The 19,365-nt window shown below is 38.4% G+C and overlaps 1 protein-coding gene across 12 annotated transcripts in view, besides 1 other annotated feature; it reads left to right on the top strand.

Annotated features, from left to right (window-relative positions):
- MYO5A (myosin VA) overlaps positions 1–19,365 on the top strand; it is a 221,768-nt gene that overhangs the window by 122,913 nt on the left and 79,490 nt on the right. For all 12 annotated transcript variants that reach the window (XM_047432544.1, XM_047432543.1, XM_047432540.1 and 9 more), the window contains 6 exon segments: positions 745–851; positions 8,672–8,937; positions 9,741–9,822; positions 14,068–14,208; positions 16,775–16,900; positions 18,226–18,309. In XM_047432544.1, the coding sequence (XP_047288500.1) occupies positions 745–851; positions 8,672–8,937; positions 9,741–9,822; positions 14,068–14,208; positions 16,775–16,900; positions 18,226–18,309 (806 nt within the window).
- Positions 13,382–14,058: an enhancer, noted in NCBI's record as "OCT4-NANOG-H3K27ac hESC enhancer chr15:52684277-52684953 (GRCh37/hg19 assembly coordinates)". NCBI's record gives its function as "activates a minimal SCP1, AML or CMV promoter by ChIP-STARR-seq in naive H9 embryonic stem cells {active_cell/tissue: H9 hESC(naive)}" and the evidence as "EXISTENCE:reporter gene assay evidence [ECO:0000049][PMID:30033119]".

Here is a 19,365-nt window from a genome sequence, read left to right as displayed (position 1 = left end):
GGAGATTCTTATGTTATTTAAAAATGAAGCCAGATCTGATAAAAGCTGAAAGCTGTCCAGCTTTCTCATCCTGCCTTATCCTTCAAGTTCTGCTCTGATGCTGTATTTGGACGCATACTCATCAGGCTGGGATATAGCACCAGCCTAAACGCTTCTAATCTTGGCGTCTCTTTGACTTATACTTGGTCTGTAGTTTAAAGAAGTAATTAAATAATTACTTTTTAAACAGCCTTAAGAAGTAACAGCTTTATTGGGCTGTATCTGGAGCAGAGATAAATAGAAATGGTAATACTATTAATTTTAAACCCAGTGTGTGACAATGATGACAACAATTTGTTTAGCACTTACTGTGTGTCATGTCGTGTATTAAGTATGCTATGTGCATTTAATCTCATTTAATCTTCACATACTTTGAAGTAGTCACTATTATTTTCATATCTCAAATGAGAAAATGGAAGCATAGAATACTGAAGCTACCTGTCCATTTGAGATGATAGGTCCATAGCAGAGCCAGGTCTCAAGCCAGATCAGCCACAGTCAGCAGCCATGTTATCCATCCATGATGCTAAACTGCCTAATGTGTTAATGTCAACAAAGATGAAAGTGTTGTTAGCTATGACACATTATAATATGCACAACATCTGGCAATATTCAGGAATTAACAATAGGCTTAAAATTGTCTGCTGTAATTGTTTAGTTTCTATTCTGAAATTAATCACTTGTTCATTCACTCTCTTGTTTCAGGAATTAGTGAATCTCATCAAATGGGAATTTTCCGAATACTTGCTGGCATCCTTCACTTAGGCAATGTTGGATTTACATCCCGAGATGCAGACAGCTGCACAATACCTGTAAGTTCAGAATAAGCTTTAGTGGGATGGCAGTTGAATTATGTTTTAGATTTGTAGATTGTTTAAAGAAGCAATATAGTTTAAGTCTCTCTATCAATATTATCAGAAACATAATTATCAAAGACATATGTTATCCAAAGGAGAATCTCAAACTGAGAATAAAGAAATATGGATTCTAATCTCTGGTGCATAGTGATTGTGTGTGTGTGTGTGTGTGTGTGTGTGTGTGTGTGTGACAGAGAGAGAGAGAAAGAGAGAGGGTTGGATAGATGAGATTAGTGACTATAACGCAGATGTGGCCCCACAAGATCAGAAACTCATGGAAGTTAAAGCTATTAGGGATCATATCATGCCCTTACTGAAATGTTTCAGGACTCCCCACTGCCTTCAGAAGCAGACCCAACACCTTACTTGGCATGATATGACATGAAAGGGCCTTCATGACTGACCCCTGACTTCCTATTGAGCTTCTTTCTCATTGTTTCTCACACTCTACATCCAGCCATTTCCATGCCAGGCTGTTTCTCTCTCCTGGCTTTGCTCAGATTCTCCCTGCTGGGGTACATACATTGCTCTTCTTCCCTAGCCAGCTCTTACTCACGTCTCACAGGCAGATCTCTAGCATCTCTTCTTAGATACACACTCACCCTTCTGCTTTCCTTTATTGTAGCTCAAATCACATTGTTCTATAAAGGTCTCTCCTGCTTGCCTTTACCCACTAGGATTTGAAGTCCTTGTGGATAGAGCCATGCTATTCATTGTGGTATTCTTAATTAAGGCCTTAATTTAAATGGTGTTTATTCAACTCACTTAGTTGCCTTTTTTCTCTGGATCTATAGCCTCTTGTGTAAAAACAGATTCTCTACTCCTGTAAGAAAAGAATCTATTTCTTGTGTTTTCTGGATATAGTACTTTGATACTATATTAGATGTGTGAGACATGATATAATATAAAATAAATGACTTTATGATTTAAAGAGAAGACTTGTTCCATAACTTTTTTTTTTTTTTTTTTTTTTTGAGACGGAGTTTCACTCTTGTCGCCCAGGCTGGAGTGCAAAGGCATGCAATCTCGGCTCACTGCAACCTCCGCCTCCTGGGTTCAGGCGATTCTTCTGCCTCAGCCTCCTGAGTAGCTGGGACCACAGGTGTACACCACCATGCCCAGCTAATTTTTTATTTTTAGTAGAGATGGGGTTTTGCCATGTTGGCCAGGCTGCTCTTGAACTCGTGACCTCAGATGATCCGCCCACCTTGGCCTCCCAAAGTGCTGGGATTATAGGTGTGAGGTGTGAGCCACCACATCCAGCCCTGTAACTTATTTATTAGTCCAAGGGCCAAGAGCTAGATGGGCAGACAGTTTGGTTTACAGAAAGCTTGATCCTTACGATTTTCTTTATGAATATTTGAGGTGTAATTTTCCTAAGCCATGGGTCCTAATTTTAGATGCATGATTCCTCCTCCCCTCCCCCAGCCTCTTTTCCTAATGGTGGTTTTGTAAAAGGCAAAATGATGATTCTAATTTAAACCCTCATTTCTTCTAATGAAACATTGCTAGTCTTTTAAAAAAGAGCTTTGTTGAGATATAATTCGTATATCATACTCATTTAAAGTGTACCATTAAGTGGCTTTTAGTACATTCACAGATATGTGCAACCATCACCACAGTCAGTTTAAAATATTTCTGTGACCTCAAAAAGAAACCCAGTACCCTTTACTTATTGTTACCTATGTGTCTATTTCCCTACCCCTAAGCAACCATAAATCTGTTTTCTGCCTCTATAGATTTGCCTGTTCTGGACATTTCATATAAATGGAATCATATAATATGTGGTTTTTCGTGACTGGCTTCTTTCAAAATCCATCCATGTTGTAGCACGTGTCAATACTTTATTCTTTTTTACGGCTGAATAATAGTCCATTATATGGAGATACCATATTTTGTTTATCCACTGGTTGATTGTTGGATATTTGAGTTGTTTCACCTTTTGGCTGTTATGAATAACACTACTCTGAATGTTGGTATACAAACTGGATTTTTTAAAAAGAACTCTGATTTCTGCATCACCATCTTTCCTCTTTGCCCTTGTGACCTTTCCCCAAATGTCAAGCTTCTCCTAATCAAGAAAGTCATGACTAATGTTATGTCACATATATCACTTCATTATGAGTCTTACCTAAAATTTGAGTGTACTGTTTTCCTATTTGAGATGTCTGGAAGTTATTAATATCATCTTGGAGAAATAGTACTTATAATGTCCAGAAGTTCCTTCCATCCAGTTCTTGTAATTCTATGATTTTTATTTTCTAACCGGTGCTTGTCAACTTTGTTGATTTGATGATAGCTATAAGTACTACAATTTCACTATTTGGGGTAGGTGGAGATTAAGTTAGTTTTTGTTTTGTTTTGTTTTGTTTTTTGTTTTTTTGTTTTTTTCTTTTTGAGACGGAGTCTTGCTCTGTCGCCTGGTCTGGAGTGCAGTGATGCGATCTTGGCTCACTGCAACCTCCACCTCCTGGGTTCAAGCTATTCTCCAGCCTCAGCCTCCCGAGTAGCTGGGATTACAGGTGTGTGCCACTGTGTCTGGCTAATTTTTGTATTTTTAGTAGAGACAGGGTTTCACCATGTTGGCCAGGCTGATCTCGAACTCCTGACCTCAGGTGATCTGCCTGCCTTGGCCTCCTAAAGTGCTGGGATTACAGGCATGAGCCACTGCGCCTGGCCTTAAATGAGCTTTAAAAGTTACTGGTAAGACATCTCTATTTGATAGTTCTGCCCCACCTTGAAGGCATTTGCTGAACCCAGTGACCTTGAGCTTTGGGTTTCATAGCCAAGTGAGCTACAGAAGGCAAAGACACAGGACCCATATAAACAGGGGAACACAAAGACTCCTGCCTAAAGCTGAGACCCTAAGTGGGGAGCTAGTAATCAATTTGCCCACCACCCACTCCAAGAGTATAAAGAAAACTTAACCTGACCCACACTTTGGTGCCAAGTAGAGGCAGAAAACTAGCTCCCTAAAAATTTATAACAACAAACTGACTCTCACACATATTCATTCCCAGACTGATTTCATAGTTCCTGGAAGGTCTCAAAAAACTACATACAGAAAATATAGCTTAAATTGATCCTGGGCTGGTAGTGGCCTAGGCGCCTGACAGAAGCAACTGCAAATCTACTTTGGAGGACCCACCTTCAGTCTAGGCCTCAGTGGAGTCCCATCAGAAAAGTTACAAGAAATATTGACTCACAGTCAAAAATCACAAGTCCCCCAATGAAACAAAATAGAAGGAGCTAGGAGAAACGACAGATAGCAGAGTCATACCTGCTAAGAATGCCAAAATTAATAAACAGCAGATTTGGTACAACTGAAGAGAAAACTGATAAGCTAGAAGGTAGATGTGAAGAAATTGTCCAAAATGCAAGATAGGACCCAAAGACAGAGCACTTGAAACAGTAGTTAAGAGAGAAGAAGGATAGAGTAATAATGTCTAATTTTAATCTAATGAAAATTCATAAAGGAGAGAAGAGAGAGAATGAAGCAGACATAATATACCAAGAGATCATTACTAAAAAATTTTTAGAACTTGTGAAAATGACTAACCCACATATTCAGAAAGTCCAGAAAATCCCAGTTAGGATAAATAAAAAGAAATCTATTCCTAAGAACATCATAATGATATCAAAGACAGAGGAAACTTAAAACAGAGAGATTAAGAGACTGCCCTTGAAGAAATAGCAATTAATCTGATAGCTCACTTCCCAGCTGCAGCTATAAAAGCCAGAACACAGTGGAATAATATCTTCAGTGTGCTTAGAGTGGAAACTATTAAGTTAGAATTATATATCCCGTTAAAATATCTTTCTAGAATGAATTGAAATTGGAAGCATTTTCAGACAATTAAAAACTTATGAGAGGCCAGGCGTGGTAGCTCACACCTGTAGTCCCAGCACTTTGGGAGGCTGAGGCGGGTGGATCACCTGAGGCTAAGAGTTTGAGACTAGCCTGGCCAACATGGCAAAACCCTCTCTCTACTAAAGATACAAAAATTAGCTGGACATCATGCGTATGCCTATAATCCCAGCTACATGGGAGGCTGAGGCATGAGAAGTGCTTGAACCTGGGTGGTGGAGGTTACAGTGAGCCAAGATCGCGCCACTGCACTCCAGCCTGGAGGATAGAGCAAGACTGTCTCAAAAAAAAAAAAAAAAGCTTATGAGAATCTGCTGTTGCCAGTGAGCCCTCACTAAAGGAAATATTAAATATTAAAGGATATAGTTTAGGCAGAAGGAAAGTGATCCCAGTTAGAAGATCTAAGATGCAAGAAGAAATGAACTAAGAAGTTAGCAAAATGTGGGCAAATGTAGATAAAATTTGATTAATTAGAATAATAATAGTATATTGATCTGGTAAAAGATAGAATTCCCACAAGACATGTATTAATTACAAAGGGAAAGATAGTTATCATTACAGTCAAGAAACCTGGCAGACATTCCCTTAACCAAGTGATCACAATTGATAGTACCAATATTTAGACCAATCAATATCACATAGCTTTGGATATGACACACTGAGCAGAGTGCAACACCACTTCTCTGGTATTTCTGCCCAAATCTAATCATGAGGTAACATCATAGAGACCCAAACTGAAGGAGTCTTCAAAAAGTCAAGGTCACAAAAGACAAAGAAGAATGAAGAACTGTTCATGTTAAAGGAGACTAATGAAACATGATAACTAAATTCAATGCATGATCCTGGATTGAATCCTGGACCATAAAAATTAATTATTTTTTGTAGAGAGCACTGTTAGGCCAACAAAGGGAATGTGGTAAAATGTTAATATTTAGGGAATCTGAGTGAAGGGAATTTTTTGTACTATTCTTGCAACTTTTCTGTTAGTCTAAAATTAGATAAAAAGTTTAAAATATAAAATGAATCTCCAGTCCCCTACCCTGCCCCCTCACACAAAAGGTAGAACTAAAGTATTGGATAACAGAGGATAAATTGGAATGGGATGTTTGGAGTTAGTGTTACTTAATTACATTATGTTAATTATAAAACAAAATAGTAACAAAGTAAACCTTTCAAACTAGTAGAGAGGAAAATGGATTGAAAAAAATCAAAATATAGCAAGAAAGAGGGAGAAAAACAAATGTTGAAAAGTAGGACAACCAAAAGAACAAAATAAGATAGAAATAATTAAAAATGGACCAAGTGCTCCAGCTAAAAGATTTAGATTGTTAGACTGGTTAAAAAAATTCAGATATAACCATGGAATACTACCCAGTCATAAAAAAGAATGAAATCATGCCCTTTGCAGCAACATGGATGCAGCTGGAAAACATTATCCTAAGTTATGCAAAAACAGAAAACCAAATACAACATATTCTCACTTATAAGTGGGAGCTAAACGTTGGGTGCACATGGTCATAAATGGGAACAATAGACACAGGGGAATACAAGAGAGGGTAATGGTTGAAAAAAACAACCAATTGGCAGCTATGCACACTACCTAAGTGATGGATTCATTCATACTCCAAATCTCAGCATCACACAATATTCCTTTATTGTGTACATGTGCACAAAGCTGCACATGTGCCCCCTGATTCTAAAATACAAGTCAAAAAAAGAAAAAAAAGTTTCAGGTATATACTTTTAAAAGAAGCATTCCTAAAATATAGAGATACAGAAAGTTTGAAAAAAAAAGTTTAGAAAAGACATGCTAGCTAGGACAAAACTGGCAACACTGTGCACGTATTGAACAAAATAGACTTTGAGGCCAAAAGCAGTGCTAGAGGGAAATAAAGTGACTTTGCAATGATAAAGATTTTATTCACTGTGCATGGTGTGTGCCTGTAATCCTAGGAGACTGAGGCAGGAGGATCTCTTGAGTCCAGGAGTTTGAGGCTACAGTGAGGTACGATTGTACCACCACACTCTAGCCTGGGCAACAGAATGAAATCTCATCTCTGAAGAGAACAGATTTTATTCACCAGGAATATGAAATAGTGCTAAACTTCTATATACTTAATGACATAGCCTCGAAAGATATATAGCAAAAATCAACAGAAACCTCAAGAAGAGACAAATTTGCTATCAGAGTGGGAGATTATTGACTTCTCTTAATTATTGATAGGTGAAGTCCAAAATGAGTAAAGCTGTGGAGAATTTAAACCAAACAGTTAACAATCTTGATGTAATAGAACAATAAGGTAACAACATTCAAGTAGAATATGTTTACAGAGTGCTGACCCACCTTTTTTTTTTTTTAATTTTAAGAAAAAAATTTTTTTTTTTGAGACGGAGTCTCGCTCTGTCACCCAGGCTGGAGTGCAGTGGCACTATCTCAGCTCACTGCAACCTCCACCTCCCAGGTTCAAGCAATTCTCTTGCCTCAGCCTCCCCAGTAGCTGGGATTACAGGTGTCTGCCACTACAAGCAGCTAATTTTTGTATTTTTGGTAGAGACAGGGTTTCACCATGTTGGCCAGGCTGGTCTCAAACTCCTAACCTCAGGTGATCCTCCTGCCTTAGCCTCCCGAAGTGCTGGGATTACAGGCGTGAGCCACCACGCCCAGCCTGACCCACTTTTAAATGATGCCGAATTCTAAATACATACATATATATGGCTGCTTATTTAAGGGAGTTGAGCAGGCAGTGGTGCTGATTTGTATCTAAAGTGATTACTTGGGAGAAAGGGGGATGAAAGAAGGAAGGGGTGCTTGAGTGTGAAGAGTCTAGAGATGAAGGTGTCAAGGAGACCCAGGTTCTAATGCCAACTCTGACATCAATTGCCAGCTGATTTTTGACAAGCTATTTGTTCTCTTGGGTCCTATTTCCTCAGTTATCCACCAGAGACAATGTTCACCCTCCCTATGCCCCAGGAATGTCAGATTTGACTGATACATGTGATTGAAGATGTTGAAAAATATAATGTACTAACATGGATTAAATTAGACAAGTATTTATCAAACATCTACTCATGCAAGTCTCATGGAAGATATTCTAGGGGGTACAGGGATATGTAAATCATGGAAGTCATTCTAATATAAAAAGTCACACAAATAACTATCAAGTTACCTGCTTACAATCCTTCAGTGGCCTACCATTGCTTCAAGGATAAAGACCAGCTAGGATATAGCCTCTGTCTGTTTCTGTGATTTCAACTCACATTTTCTCCCTCATTCAGCTTCAATCCTTCCTATTGATGATTTCCTTCCCACCACAGAATGTTTTTGCCAGCTGTTTCCTTGGCTTGGAAAATCCTTTTCTCCTCCTTTCACCCAGTTAGCACCTTCCTTTTCTCAAGGCAACTGTCTCCTCCTTCCAAAATAGAACATATTCCTCTCACATGGACTCAGCATAGTGTCCTTGGTCTTTGTGGTATTTTTCATTTTAGGGAGCAATCATTTGATTAATACCCATTTCCCCAAGTGACTATAAGTTCTAGGAGGGCAGGGACCATGTTTGTTTTTGTTTTCTGGTGCATAGTAGCACTCAGTAAATAATTGTTGACTAGCTGACTGATTTTTTGACTGAATGAATGAAGATGCTTTAAGAGAGATACAAACAAATACTATGAAGAGTCAAAGGAAGAGGGAATTTTTGAAGTGAGCCCCAGAAGAGATTGCAAAATGCTGCCTGGATGCCAGTTTAATGGATGAATGTGATTATTATCACTAATCAACTTTGAGTGATCTTGGTGTTTGTTATAACAAAGAAATTGCTGAATTTTATTTGTTAACTCTTTGTTAACATTTTCCGAGAGATTCTTACTTGATTTATCTGGTCATAGGAAATAACTCATTATCTTTTGGCAGCCCAAGCATGAACCTCTCTGCATCTTCTGTGAACTCATGGGTGTGGACTATGAGGAGATGTGTCACTGGCTCTGCCATCGGAAACTGGCTACTGCCACAGAGACATACATCAAGCCCATCTCCAAGCTGCAGGCCACGAATGCCCGCGATGCTTTGGCCAAGCACATCTATGCCAAGCTCTTTAACTGGATTGTAGATAATGTCAATCAGGCTCTCCATTCTGCTGTCAAACAGCACTCTTTTATTGGTGTGCTAGACATTTACGGGTGAGTATATTTGGCTAATTGGTCTGCCAGAGAACATTTCTTTCTAGAACTTATCTAGTAACTCTAAGTGGGCATTTGATTCTGTTTCCTACTGGTAAAGAGAAGGGAAACTTTGCCTATGACAATTCAAGAATACCTTGATGATGGTGATGCAATTGCGTGTTGCTTAAAATTTAACTAAAACAAAAAAAAATAGTTCACATCTAGAGCTAATTTACTTAGCTAGTGCATAGACTTAATTGGTTTTCAGATGCTCATGTGGTAAATTATCACTGAAATTCTAAAAATCTAATTTTATTTGCTAGTTTGCCTTATTTGGGTACCTGTCTTTAGCTGTTAAAATCCTTCCTTCATATTTGTGCCTGTTTCATACTTAATTTTTCATTCTCTGGTTCTCTTTTTCAAAAGAACCTGTAGGATCTCTGTTCCTATTTCCCTCCTATATGTGTGTAACACCGTGAGTCAGTATATTGACAAGAGCAATGGCTTTATTATAATTCTGATGTTCCCCACTTGGGGGTGAATGAGCCCTCAAAAACTCATAGTGTTGAACACCTCTGCATGCTGGGGCCTTTGGAAAAAAAAAACAAAAAAAACCTCTCTGCTGCATGGCTGATGCTCATCTGCTGGGTACATATTCCTTGTTACTGACTTAGAAATCTTTATTTTCACTGATATGGAAAGAAAGTTTTACAATGTTGGGGAATGTCCCACTTCTTTCTTCCTAATGTGTATATTTTGAATATTTTTAAAAAGCTTTTTGTTCCTTTTCTCCCCTTTTCATATTATTTTTGTGGTTACAGATTTGAAACATTTGAGATAAATAGTTTTGAACAGTTTTGCATAAATTATGCAAATGAAAAACTACAGCAACAATTCAATATGGTAAGAATGTTCTTCCTTGAATAATACTCTGCTATAAATTATTCTCTTGAATTCCTAGTCTTTGTTTAAAAGCTTATCCCTGGAATGAAGTTGTGAATTAAAATTATTATATGGAACTTAGAACTGACGATTAATGAATGGTACAACATTAGAAAAATGTTTTATGGGCCAGGTGGTATTCAAGGTTATCCTTGGATTGCAGTCTGATAATAACGAAAATTTGGGACAAATAGATTGAGAGAAGCAGGCAGTGTGTTAGGTAATTGCTTGGGAGTATGAAGCTTTAAGCCCAAGGATATCTTTCAGTTTGTTATTTTGAAGTTTATTGTATGTGGAATCATGACCATCTTAATGCTTACTTGCTATATTAGCAAGATGTCAGAACTAAAAAGCAGAATTTTACATATTCTCTTTTCAGCAGTCTGGGACATTCACTGGGACAATGGCAATGTGAATATTTTGAGTGGCTCTTGTGAAGTAGTAATATTAAATATCTTAGAGGAGTATTGTGGTTTTGGGAGATTCAGAGATGCTTAAAAATCAGGGGCAGCAGATTGTAATAGTGAAGGACACAGAGCCCAGAGGTGAACTGTGTGAGTTGGAATCCTACCCTGTGTCAGTTATCTAGGAGACCTTGGGCAAGTTAGTTGACCTCCCTGGGCCTTAGCTTCCTCATCTGTAAAATGGAGATAATAATAGTACCTTCTGTGTGTGGTTTTATGGATTAAATGAGTTGGAATATGTAAAGGGTCCATAATGTGCCAGGCACAGTTCTAAGTGCAAGAGTGGGAGTGATTCTTAGTGTTGATGAAAGAGGATATTAAAATGAGATGCCCATAGGAATTAGAAGATAGAGCTCAAGGGCAGGAAAGACACCCTTAATAAATCCTCATCTTGTAAAGAGAGAGGTCAAGTGGTATGGTTTGTAGTTGATGCACACAAACCAGATGTTTAAAGACACTGCAAGTTACAAATTTGGTTAAAAAACAAAAGAGGATCTAAAAATAGTAATATAGGGAGAATAGTGGAAGAGCGGGAAGGAGGTGTTGTATGTGAATTTAGCCTTGTTTGTGTCATAACGAAATCACTAGGTGTTTCATAGTGATAAATCAGAAGGTAGTTGATAAGCATACTCTTTAGAAATATGTAGGTAAATATCAGAAGAAATACCTAAGGGAATTAAAAATGGTTGCCTCCAGGGAGCGAGATTGGGGTTGGGGAGAGATGGGACAAGGAATTGCTACTTGTCATTATAAAACCTTTTAGACTGTTTGATTAAATATTCCATATACTTTGAAAAAACTTGAACCATCTTTATTTAGCAAATTAAGCTTCTTACCACAGTGAAATAATGTAGAAGTGATCTTAAAACTTTAGGCTTATGACTATTTCCATAATAAGATGACTACTAATATGATTTGCATCTCTGCATAAAGAACATTAATAAAAACTTATCAGAAACTAAACTGAGCATTATTGTTTCTCAAGGTGTTCCTGAGTTTCTTAATACTTTAGTTAATGCCACAGCCTTTCACTCTTTCCCATTGTGTTTCCACACAGAGTGACTGGAATGTAAGGAAGCAATGCCAGCCTCTTTAGGAACTGGCTAGTTTGTCTGTTTTTCAAGGGCCTCCTGTCTGCATGTGTGTTTTGGTCTCTTGCGTCTCTTCCTCTTTCCTGCTGTCTGTCTCTATCCACCTGTTTCTCCTTCTCTCTTCACATACCCCCTTACATTCTGCATCTTCGATTCTGCACAACTGCTCTGCCCCCTCTTCCTATCCAATGTCAGGTTCTTTCCTTCTAGTCTGTATACATCTTCTCCACCTCAAGCTTTCTCCTTTCTCACTCACTTTAAACTTCCTGTGAACCCAGCAGTGGTTGGAATGCTCTGCTCGTCCTCTTAACTTGCTTATCTCCCATTCATTTTGGCTTCTTTCAGTTTCAACTCCCACTACTAATTGCCTCATTATTTTCTTGTTTCCCAGTTCAAATACCTGAGAGAGAGAATCTGATTAACACTGTTCATTTTTTCATCAGAGGTCTCTAGCAGGAGACTGCCCTCATGTACCCACACTGGTTTAGTCAGCTGTGACTAGGAACGTGGGGTCTCACAGTATAAATAACTTGATTGCATAGGGCTGTTACCTGATCTGGGGATGTAGGTGGGGGCAGTCAGCATGAGAAATCCCGTGGTTGGCATGCTTAGTGTTTGAAGGCATTACTATATTGACCAAGAATCTCTTGCCATATTGAACTTCATGCCCATATTCTTTGACAGTTGAGCATCCCAAATTTTAAAGACCCCAGGAGCTTTTCCAAACTAGACATGGAGATGTGTGTGAGTAATATGCTCTATTTAATGTCTAGAGCAGTGTTTCTATTGTCAATATTGAGACTACATATAAATTAATGAAATTTTTAAAAACAGAGCACATTGTTTTGGAAGATACTCGTACCATCAGTCAGGGTGTCCTGCTGACATATGGTGCCCTATTTGCCTTCTCATTAATCAAAAGAACAGAAGAAATTTGCTTTCTTGTTAGCATGACATAAATATTCATATGGATGACTGTTTTTTGTTAAAGCTTATAATAGCTCGTTAGACTGTAAACACTGTAAATGAGGCCAGGCGCGGTGGCTCACGCCTGTAATTCCGGCACTTTGGGAGGCCGAGACAGGCAGATCATGAGGTCAGGAGATCGAGACTGTCCTGGCTAACACGGTGAAACCCCGTCTCTACTAAAAATATAAAAATTTAGCTGGGCATGGTGGCACACGCCTGTAGTCCCAGCTACTCAGGAGGCTGAATCAGGAGAATCGCTTGAACCCGGGAGGTGGAGGTTGCAGTGAGCCCAGACTGTGCCACTGCACTCCAGCCTGGGTGACAGAGCAAGACTCTGTCTCAAAAAAAAAAAGAAAAGAAAAAAAAAACACTGCAAATGAGCCAAGAGTGGCATTACAATAAGTACAGAATACAGTGGGAAAGTTCCAGACACATGAGGAGAGTATGCATTGGAAATCTTGTGGCACGTAAGTTTCACAGGGCATGGGGTCCTAGAAAATATGGGTCATTTGATCATCACCACGAAAGTCTTTTCTTCCCACAAAAATAGCAAGATTTGTGAAAGAACCAAAGGAGACAAAAGAGATAAGTAAAGGAAGGCAGAAACTCCCCAAGAATGAGTAGCAGTCATTAGCATCTGTAGAGACTAGAAGTGGTGGTGTCAGCTGCATTGGCTGGGCAGTGGCTGGGCAGCACCCTGAAACAGGAGCTGTGGCAGTGATTGGATTGCCCTTCCCACCCGGACTAGCTTGGCTGCCATTCATCTTTAGAGACTAAATCACACAGCCCTCCTCAGGGAAGCCTCCCCTGACCAGCCTGTGTCCAAACTAGATGAGGACTCTTGCTCTTATAGTTCACGTTATTTTCCTTTGTAATACTACTACAGCTTGTGATTATATTCCTTATGGTTATTTGGTTTCTGTCCGCTTCTTCCACTTGTCTCCAAGCTCCATGAGGGCAACATCCACATCGGTGTTGTTGCCCATGTGCAGTGACTGGCACATGGTAGACAGTTAATACATATTTTTATGTGAATGGAGATGAGAAGCAATGGTGAGGACAGTGGCTGAAGGCTTCATCGGAAATAGCAATGGACTAGCAGTTGCAGTTGCTAACAGAATTTAATGTGGAAACCAGAAAAGTGAGTCGTAGACTCCATGACTATCACAGATAATCAGGGCAGTCAGGAGAAAGACCAGTCATTAACTAATTCTGAGCCACGTGAACTTCAGCACCACAGTCCCTTAGGAGAAGTACTTTGTTATGCTGAAAGCATTGCCCAGCATGATTCAGTAGCCTGGAGGGCATCAACATAGTTGTTAAATGCCAGCTAAGGCATTCCTGTGTCCCATGTTGTTAGCAGCACTCTACGATAACTTAAGAAGCCAAAAGTACATAGTGCAGTTTTGAAAATATACATAATCAAAAGATCACAAAGATTGCTACATTGATCAGCTATTTAAAATATTTATATACCTAGATTTACTTGTTTACCAAGAATCCTACGTAGCTGAGGTTTTCCTGTTGTTTTATTTGCTTTCTCTGTGTGTAAATCATGCTTCTCCCGTGAGGTTGTTGTTGTTGAAAGCCACAGATTATCTCAAATTATGTTGGTATCATCTTGACTACATTCTTTGTTACAATGATCCAGTAATGACTGCTTTTTTTCTTTTTCATTTCAGCATGTCTTCAAATTGGAGCAAGAAGAATATATGAAGGAACAAATTCCATGGACACTCATAGATTTTTATGATAATCAGCCTTGTATTAATCTTATAGAATCAAAACTAGGCATTCTAGATTTACTGGATGAGGAATGCAAGGTAAGTATGATTTCCTGGGGTACTTGGTTTATCAAAATAGATGTATCAAGGTCAGAAGATAAGTGGGTTCAAGGAGAGATTCATTAGTATATCATGGAATGCCGTCGTGGTGACAAGTAGGGGTTATGCTTTCATTCCAAAGGGACACTAGACCCCAAGGGTTCTAATTACAAGTGAAACTAGGAGAATTTCCCTCCTCTTTTCAGCTGATTCTAAATTACATGAAAAATTGACGTTAGATACTAACAATTTTAGCCACTTTTGTTATTAATTTGTTTAGTACTTTTTGGTCAGCGATAGAATTTAAAGAAATGCAAGAAACTGTGCAGAAGATATTTTGAATAACAGTTCTAAATAGTTATAATTGTAAAACTAACTAGTTGTTCCTTATTACTGACATATTTGAGAGGGATGGAGTTGTATCTTTAATATTTAAAGATGCACCATGTTGGAAAAAAGCATTAGATCCCCAGCTTTACCACTGAGTGATCGTAGGCAAACCTATTCTTTCGCTTTATTTCTCTTTAGTTTATATGCAGTAAGTTACATTTTAGCACAGGTGTACCCTCCTAAGCATCCAGACTTCCTACAACATTGAGGATGCATGTGATGAAAAGGTTCTCAGCCTCACTTGAGATTTTAAAAAATGCAAACCAAAGCAAAAATGGTACACCGCTCTTGACCCATCCAGTAGGCAAATTTAAACTCGATAATTTTCATTTGATAATACTAAATGAATATTGCATATATACTCATGATGAAAAGCATGAATTCATTCAACATACTTTATAGGATATTTGACAACATTTATCATAATTTTAACTACATACCCTTGACCCAGGAATGGAACTGCTGGGAATTCCACCTTTGATTATACTTGCAAAAGTATCCAAGGTATATACATATAAGAAGAAAACTGTGGCAGTTGTCATAGTAATAACAAAAAAATCAGTAACAACCTAGTAGCCATAAATAATGCAGAGAATACTACTGTTGCAAAGCTGAAAAAAATGCAATGAGTGTGTAGAATTATCCTATTCACATACATGCCTTCAAAGAGAGTTAAAGAAGGCCGGGCATGATGGGCTTATATCTGTAATCCCAGCACTTTGAGAGGCTGAGGTGGGTGGATATTTGAGTTCAGGAGTTTGAGACCAGCCTGGGCAATATGGTGAAACCCCGTCTACAAAAAAATACAAAAAATTAGCTGGGCATGGTGGTGTGCACCTGTAGTCCCAGCTACTTGGGAGGCTGAGGCAGGATAATCACTTGAGCCTGGGAGGCAGAGTTTGCAGTGAGCCGAGATTGTGCCATTGCACTCCAGCCTGGGTGAAAAGAGTGAAACCCTGTCTCAAAAAAAAAAAAAAAAGAAAAAAAAAAAGAGAGGGAGAAATAATTAAGTTGGAGGAAATGGCAAGAGGAGACTACTCTCCATTTTATATCTTTCTGAATTATAGAAATGCTTCACTATGTAACTACAGATGTTACCTTTATTTGACAGAATTTTTTAAATTTAATTTTTAATTTTTGTGGGTACTAGTTGGTGTATATATTTATGGGGATACATAAGATTTTGGTATAGGCATGCGATGTATAATAATCACATCATGGAAAATTGGGTATCCATCCCCTCAAGCATTTATCTTTTGTGTTACAAACAATCCAATTATACTCTTATTCTTAAATGTATAATTAAATTATTATCAAATACTAGGGCTTATTCATTCTAATTTTTTGGTACCTATTAACCATCCCCCATTTGCACTCCCCACAACCTCCTGCTACCCTTCCTAGCCTCTGGTAACCATCTTTCTATTCTTTATCTTCATAGGTTCAATTGCTTTAATTTTTAGATCCCACAAATAAATGAGAACATGTGATGTTTGTCTTTCTGTTTAACAGAATTTTAAAAACGTACATAATAGCCCTGATATTTCAACTTTAACTTGGGAGGCTTTTTTGTTTTTCTTTTTTTGAGACGGAATTTCACTTTTGTCACCCAGGTTGGAGTGTAATGGTGTGACCTCTGCTCACTGCAACATCCGCCTCCCAGGTTCAAGGGATTCTCCTGCCTCAGTCTCCTGAGTAGCTGGGATTACAGGTGCCCACCACCTCGCCTGGCTAATTTTTTCTAATTTTAGTAGAGACAGGGTTTCTCCATTCTGGTCAGGCTAATCTCGAACTCCTGACCTCAGGTGATCCACCTGCCTTGGCTTCCCAAAGTGCTGAGATTACAGGCATGAGCCACCACGCCCGGCCAGCTTTTGTTTTTTAAAAAACAGCAACAACAACAACAAATTTATTTGATGATTTTTCATATAGGCAGATTGAACTGCCCAAAGATTGGGCTGGGTTGCCCATGAGAAGGTCTCAGTCATACTATTCATTAGTAATTGGTTGTTGGCCTCTAACAATGAAATGTGGAAGGAATGAACTCCTAAATTGAATTGTAAAAGTTATTAGTTAAAGCCAAAAAAAAAAAATAAAAGATCTTTTGACAGCTGATGCTTTAGAGGAATCACAGTATTTACCTTGTTTTCTTTCTTCCTTTTTTCCATGAATATAGATGCCTAAAGGCACAGATGACACCTGGGCCCAAAAATTGTACAACACACATTTGAACAAATGTGCACTCTTTGAAAAGCCTCGTCTATCAAACAAAGCTTTCATCATCCAACATTTTGCTGACAAAGTAAGGAAGCTTTATATCAGTTTTTCTTTTTGAATACTTAAATGTGGAAAAAACCCAATAGTCAGGAGGTATCTTTTTTTTTCTTTTGCTGATGTTTGCATTCTTTAGGGCTCAAGGGACAGCAGTCTTCAGTGTTGACATGTTGGTTTTCTCTTCCTTTAACCTAAATTGAGTTATTTGTGAAATAAGTATGGTTCTATAATTCTGAAATCCAGGAATCTCTGTAAACTGTTTTTTTTTTAATAACTCGTTTAGCTAAACCTGATCTCTGATCTGAATTAACATGAGATTATTTATAGTCTGTCTTTATCCCAGTTAGGCTGGAAATATTCATATTTCACTATAGAAATATGAATATGTTTTGTTGTAGATCATTGCCTTCCATTCTGCTGGAAATATGAAAAAATGGTGTATGTACATACTACATCTCTAAATGCCTCAAAAATTCTGAGTCCTAAAGCATAGCTGATCTCAAGGGTTTCAGAATAGCAATTGTGGACTTGTGTCACCCTCTGCAATTGATTCACTGGGTCCCTTCTAATAAGGCATACTGTCTTACTGCTTCACAAGTTCTATAGTGTACTTAGAAAATCACAAGCAATGAGAGTAATTTATATTTCAAGGAGACTGTGATGTAGGCTTTGGGGTAAGTTTCACAGGGTCTCCTTTAGGGATTGAGGACTTTCTAAGTCTGCCCTAATTCCATCTAGAAGCCTTGAGATGACCCTAGGGCCACCTAAAGGTTTTGTCATGCAAGCTTTGACCCCCTTGAGTGGCAGACAACTGAAGTTGCTGGAGTTTTGGAAAAGAAATAGTCCATTCTCAAGTAGTCCTGCTTTACCAAATCATACAATATTTCCCCAGCCTTCACCTTCATCCATCAGCAGCTTTTCACCTCTGTCCCCATCAGACACTCATTTGTTCCTTCTGATTCTCACTCCTGCTGTAATCTCTTCTAAGAGGAAACACAACTGCTTGATGGTAACCTAGGTTGGAAGGAGATACAAGGAGTCAGCCTTGGAAGAGCTCTCTGGCCAGCATGGGAGAAGAGGATCTAATCTGCTCACCCACTAACTGAGAGGATCTTTTAGATCACAATCAGCGCTACCACTGTTTCCTAGGAAAAACGATATTTGAGGAGTTTTACTCTAAAGTTAACATACTTCTTACCAGGAATGGCCTTGGTTTCTTGGAAAAGACTGATAATACCAGTTTGCTGAGAGTTGATCGTATAGCCTGAGACTAATAAAGATTCTTATTATTGATGATTATAATATCTATTCAAAAGTTTTATCAGTTAAGGAGATTTTTCCATGTGTTTTCAGGTGGAATACCAGTGTGAAGGATTTCTCGAAAAGAATAAAGACACCGTTTTTGAAGAACAAATTAAAGTTCTTAAATCAAGCAAGGTAACTATGGATAGGCTTACTCTAATCCAGGATGTATGCAAAGCATTAGCTTTTTAACAATAAAAATGATTTTTTTAACAAAAATCTGTTTCAGTTTTTAATTTACCAAATATATAACACTTAGTATGTTAGTCAAAGTAATTTAGCTGCATGTCAGGTCCTGTTCTAAATGTATTGAAAATGCTAACTCATCTAATGACTCTTATTTTATGGATGAGGCACCTGAGACACAGAGACTTCATGGCTACCGAGTTTTCAAGCCAAATTAAAATCCAGGCCGTCTTGCTGTGTCTGTGCTTTTAACTCCTGTGCAATGTTTCTTTCAGTTTTGTGTGAAATTATTGCCTCCACAGTGGTTCTAGACTCTATTGTGCCTTGGTGAGAGGCCATGAGAGAAAACAGTCTTTCTGCCCTGTCAGTTTGAAGGGAGGTACTAGAAACGTGGCCTTACGCACTCCATCCAGATGGAGACTGATCTCTGGATCATCACTGAGTGCAGTTCCAGGTGTGGCCCAAAGCACTTTGAAATTATTTTTCTTAGGCATAGGTACTAGAGACACTGCTTTCTAGAGGGAAAAGAATATTCCAGATGGTAAGAGCTACGATGGCTACATTGTATTGATGATTAGGTTGATCCCCTCCATCCCTTGACCTTCCATCTGGAAAGAATGGGGAGGGGAACATGGCTCATGTTCATCCCACAGAGAGCAGAGCAGGAAGCCAGTTTCTTAGGTCAGCAAAATGAATATTCAGGTATTCAGCTAAAAATTAAAAATTTTCATGTGAATTCTTCTAGATTACTGACTGGCAGTCTTTGTTTTTCTATTTTATTCTCAGAGAATCTTTTTAACTTCAGTGGAATAGTATATGAATATTTTGACTGTTGTTTTTAGAATAAAAACCTTTACTATCAATTATTTTGATAATATAAAGATTACATGAAGACCAAATCCCAGTTTTAACCTTCAGAAAATAAGTCGAGACCAGGTGTTGTAGCTCATGCCTGTAATCCCAGCACTTTGGGAGGCCGAGGCAGGCAGACTGCTTGAGCCCAGG

Source organism: Homo sapiens, chromosome 15 (assembly GCF_000001405.40).
Source record: "Homo sapiens chromosome 15, GRCh38.p14 Primary Assembly".
Lineage (NCBI taxonomy): Eukaryota > Metazoa > Chordata > Mammalia > Primates > Hominidae > Homo > Homo sapiens.
This window is presented reverse-complemented; position numbering and strand designations above follow the sequence as displayed.